At 32.1% G+C, this 5,678-nt stretch overlaps 1 long non-coding RNA gene across 1 annotated transcript; it reads right to left on the bottom strand.

Annotated features, from left to right (window-relative positions):
- Positions 1–1,284: 1,284 nt before the first annotated feature.
- Positions 1,285–4,968, bottom strand: LOC105370216 (uncharacterized). The gene is made up of 2 exons (XR_941982.1): positions 4,869–4,968; positions 1,285–1,465 (listed from the first exon to the last, which is right to left on the bottom strand). It is a non-coding gene; the product is annotated as an uncharacterized LOC105370216 (long non-coding RNA).
- Positions 4,969–5,678: the final 710 nt, after the last annotated feature.

Genomic DNA, 5,678 nt, shown 5'->3' on the forward strand with positions numbered 1-5,678 from the left:
TATATACTATATGTTCAAAAACAGTTTAAGAATTTTCAAGTGGAAAATTTATACATTTTGTATATGATATTGATGGATAAAAATCATTAGAATCAATATCAAGAAGTTACTAAGATATATTTTCAGTCATGAAAGAAACAACTACTAATTCATCAAAATAGGCCAAAGCTACATATAATAATTTGGAGGTGTCTCTTAAAGGTATTTAAGTATATGTTAGATAACCAATATTGAGAAATAGTTTTTTAAGTAATTAGCCATTATTAGTCCAGTGACATTTAATACCCACTGATGGCTTTATTATATAAGAGGTGATGCCTACACCATATTTTTCAATTCAGATGTTATATTGATGCCATTGGAGATTAAATAAAAACTTATCATATTTAGGTAAAAAATTCTACATAATATTAAATGTTAAAAAATCTTCTAAACTATTTGATTCTTCTCTCTTTTCTTCTTTATTAATCTTGCTAGCGGTCTATCAATTTTGTTGATCTATTCAAAAAACCAGCTCCTGGATTCATTGATTTTTTGAAGGGTTTTTTGTGTCTCTATCTCCTTCAGTTCTGCTCTGATCTTAGTTATTTCTTGCCTTCTGCTAGCTTTTGAATGTGTTTGCTCTTGCTTCTCTAGTTCTTTTAATTGTGATGTTAGGGTGTCAATTTTAGATCTTTCCTGCTTTCTCTTGTGGGCATTTAGTGCTATAAATTTCCCTCTACACACTAGTCATTTGGAAGATAGTACTAACTTGATTTCAGTAAAAAAACAAAGAGAGTCATTGTAAACAAGTCAGAAAAAAAAACTTTTTCAGAATGAGCAAGGGATTTAGAACAATATATACAAATATTATATATATATTTTAATGTACAAAAAAACTGAAGCTGCTTTGTAATAGGTATTGTTTATGCTTTAAGAATGCACTCTTTCTCTAAAGGAAAGTGATGCAAAACATTCATGAATCATCTTTCAGACAGAAAACACAAGGATTTGCCAATATCAGTGAAGGTGACCCTCTTTAAGAGTTTTCTTTCTTTTTGTCTTCATACTCCACCAGGCCCTTAGATAAATTTAAAAATATCATTTGTACTTAAAGAATATATCTTAATTTAAATTTAAGTCTAAAGAACTTTACAATTTAACAGAAAATCTTGATAATGCTCTGTAGTTTGTCTTTATAGGGAAGACTTTATAAAACAAAAGACAGCACCAAAAAATGACTTGGCGGTTTACAACTATAAAAAATAAATCTGCTGCCGGGAACAACAGAATATGAAACAAGGCTGGAAATTCATCAATATATATTTTTTTATCCTGGAGCAGAGCTGGTTGAACAGATGTGGTGGGATTTATGTTTAGGAAGTGAAAAGTATCCTGGATCTACACAAAAGGGTTATTTGTTCAGTGGATTGTCCTGTGGGATGTCCATGGTGAGGCAGCAACACTTGTAACCCTGGTTTATTCCCTAGAGTCAAGAAAGCACAAGAACATTATTCACTCATGCTTCCTCATAAGAGATGGTCTGGCATTAAAATTAAGAGTAAGTACTATGAAAAACAATATAACAAGCACTATTTTTAATTTAACAAGATGAATTAATTATGAAATAACTCAAATTTTAATTATATATTACAATAAAATCCGATGAAAAGGTAACAGAGTTTGTTTAATCAACACAAACAAAATGTTGTTTTTAATATTTTTATAAATGTTTTCAAATATAATTATCTTAAATAATCCAGACAGTTTACAATTCATATAGCTCATATAAATGCCAACATTAACAGTTTTAAGCAGTTTGTGGGAAAATGATCAGCCAAACTACATATTCAAAGTCACCTTCTGCAAAGTTTCCATTTACTATGACTTTTTACATTCATCAATTATTGATGAATGGGTATATACCTGAAGGAATTGAAATCAGCTTGTTGAAGAGATGTCTGCACTCCTATGTTCATTGCAGAATTATTCACAATAGCCAAAATATGGAAAAACCTAATGTGTATATATACACATTCCAATGTATATGAAACTGTGGCATATATACAGAATATTCAGCCTTAAAAAACTGAAAATTCTGTCATTTGAAACAACATAGGTCAACCTAGAGGATATTATGTTGAGTGAAACTGTATAAAACTGTTAATGTTGGCATTTATATGAGGTATATGAATTCTGAACTATATGGATTATTTATGATAATTAAATAATAAGAGAGACAAATACTATATGATTTCATTATATGTGTAATTTAAAAATTCAAACTCATAGAAGTGGAGAGTAGAATGATGGTTACCAGAGGCTGGGGGCAGGATGTGGACAGGGAAAGGGGAGAAACTGGTCAACAGGTGGAAAGTTTCAGTGAGATTGGAGGAGTAAGTTCTGGTGTTCTATTGCACAGCATGGTCATGAGAGTTGATGATAATCTATTTTATATTTCAAAATAGCTAAAAGGAAGAATTTTGAATCTACTCATCACAAAGAAATGATAAATAGCTGAGGTGATGAATATGGTAATTGGTCTGATTTGATTATTTCACAATGTATAAATGTATTGAAGCCTTCACATCATATCCATTAAATATATACAATCATTATTCATCAATTAAAAATAAAGCTAAAATAGAGACAAATAATAATCGATGTAAACCTAAATAGTCTGCAACTTAGAGTAGCTCCTTTATTTGGTCAAACATATGAAACTTGTGTCCAAGAAAAGGAAAAATAAATAAATAAAAACCTGGTCATATGACATAAAATACAGTATTTGGAAATGGCTCACACTCCCAATGGCCAATAGCACACACATTCCATTAAAGCAAGTTGCATAGTAAAGGCTTATATCAGTGGGACAGGACAGAACCCAGAAGAGAAAGAAAAAACATATTTTGACTAATAAAATCTAAAACAACACGTGTAGATAAAAATATAGCTATATTTTAACACCCATGTCAATATCTTAATTAAGCCAATCCTCATCCTCAATTGTAGATGGGTTTGTTAGAATTTGGTATGGAATTGTAATAGATTCTGATTTAATAAACTGGTTAGCTCTCCAGTGTTTAATGTTTAATGGCTTATATACTTAAATGACATACTGTTTATTGATAATGAAAAATATAGGAAAGCTCCTAAAAATCCTAATTAAAAATTTCACTGAATTATAAGTATTTATGAATCTTAAATGCTGATTTGAGAAAACATATATAAATATTATTATGAACCCTGGAACATAAACACACAATTTTAAGGGTAATCTGAATTAAATTTTTAAAATATCAGTGTCTTTGATGAACATTGGCTGCATTGGTTTTTTACCAGTAATAATTTCACAGCAATACCAATGACTTAAATCACATATTAATTGATCATTAATTTATCTTAAGCTTCTCTTAAATTACCATTCAGGATTGTGGTATATTTTAATTCTTAAGGTAAATATGTGCTAAAACTGAAAAAGTTTCCAGTGAAAAGAAAGCAGATAAAAATTACATGCAGAACACCAAAGGTATTAGAAAATAAAATTAAAGAAAAGGAGGGAAAGCAAAACATGAAAAATACTTTGGTAGATATAATAATATGATTTTTAAGAGCTGTCGAAGACAGAACAAAAGGAAAGTAATATGACACACAACTGATACCTGCACGAGAAGTAAATACTACAGAAAAACTAGTGGAGATAATTCATATATCTGGCAACATATCCATCTTTGGTCAGGAAGACTGATTTGTTACCTAGATTGTGAGTGATGAGAATCAGGAAAACTTAAAAGTTTTTCTTTTTTTTTTTTTTTTGGAGTATATACAACATATGTGCAAGTCTTTTGTGACTAAAATGAGATAATATGTTCTAGTTGAGCAATAAAATAGGAATAATTTTTTAAAACGTATTCAGATTTTATATTCTTGGTGTGGTGCAAGGGTGAGTGGGGAGACAAGAAGTTCAAAGTTGCAAAAGTCTAATATGGTAGAATATGCAAGAAAGAAGTATTACAAGGAACATGCAGAAGAAAGGCAAGCATGGTTTGAACAAATGAATTAGTGAATAATAAGAAAGAATTTAGTTCCAATAGTCTTATTTTTGTTTGTTTTAGTACTGATGGAATTTAATTTGACTGGCTATGCAGAGCTACAAAGGTTCTATGTTCCCAACTCAGGTCATTCATTTTGATTATCGATTATTATACTCAAGGTAAATGGATTTATATGTGAACTTCAAAGAAATAGTAAGTAGGCAACCAAGAGTGTGCTGAAATCACTTAAAGTTTAGAGAAAATAACTTTTGGGTGAAAAGTGTTTTACATAGATGATGAGATCAGGTAGGATTTTTTAAAATTATTGTTCTATTTTCATTGCTTGTTTTACCTTTAAGTTTTACCTGAAAGTATGGATATTGTTTTTAAAGTACCAAGCAATAAAAATAATGTTATATAAGAAATTTTAACATGAGATGTGAGGTGGTATTAGAATTTTTACACAGAGTTGAAATTATGCCCAAATGTTACCCTCTACTAAATGTAAACACAATATTGTATTATGATAAAACAAAAATAATTTACGATTATACAGTGAAGATGATATTTCTGTTGTATATATATTACATTTCTTCAAATTTTACTTCCTTTTTATGTTCTATTTTTCTTTAACACTATGATAGGTTGAATTACATGTGTATATTTATATATACACACACTCTCGAAGTTGTTTACAGTTTTATCTTGGCTATAATAAATGAAACACCACATATTCTGTCTATGCAAGTTGCCTATACTTCCTGCTGCATTTTCTGGAAGTGCTAAGAGAGCAAAATATCAACTGCAATAGTGGCACCCTCCTTAGATATATTGCAGTCTTTGCACATCACCTACCTTATGAGTTGGTGTTAGAATACAAACTGTACGGCCGGGCGCGGTGGCTCAGGCCTGTAATCCCAGCTCTTTGGGAGGCGCAGGCAGGCGGATCACGAGGTCAAGAGATGGACACCATCCTGGCTAACATGGTGAAACCCCGCCCCTGCTAAAAAAAGAAATATATACACAAAAATTAGCTGGGTGTGGTGGCGCGCGCTGGTGGTCCCAATTACTGAGGAGGCTGTGGCAGGACAATGGGTTGAACCTGGGAGGCGGAGTGAGCCAAGATCGCTCCACTGCACTCCAGCCTGGTGACACAGCGAGACTCCGTCAAAAAAAAAAAAAAAAAAATTCTACCGTTATAAAAGGCACCCATATGGAATGACGGTTAAATAGAATCATATCAACCTCATCCTTCTGTTTGAGGCTGAATTGCTTCTCCCCAAAATTCATATGTTGAGGTCGTAACCTCCAGTGCCTCAGAGTGTGGCCATGTTTGGAGACGGTGTCTTTGAAGGAGTGCTTAAGTTAAAATGAGGTCTTTAGGGTGGGTCCCAGTCCAATGCCACTGGTGCCCTTATAGAAACAGGAAATTTGGATACACAGAGAGACAGCAGGCACACGTGCAGAAACAGAGATGACCATGTGAAGAGACAGTGAGAAGATGGCCATCTGCAAGCCAAGTAAAGAAGAAACAAAACACCAACAGCCCTGCCAACACCTTGATCTCATATTTTCAGACTCCAGAATTATGATAAATTAAACACATTGTTTAATCCACATAATCTTCAGTATTTTGTTAAGCCAGCCCTAGAAAATTAATACACT

This window comes from Homo sapiens, chromosome 13 (assembly GCF_000001405.40).
Source record: "Homo sapiens chromosome 13, GRCh38.p14 Primary Assembly".
NCBI classification, from domain to species: Eukaryota; Metazoa; Chordata; class Mammalia; order Primates; family Hominidae; genus Homo; species Homo sapiens.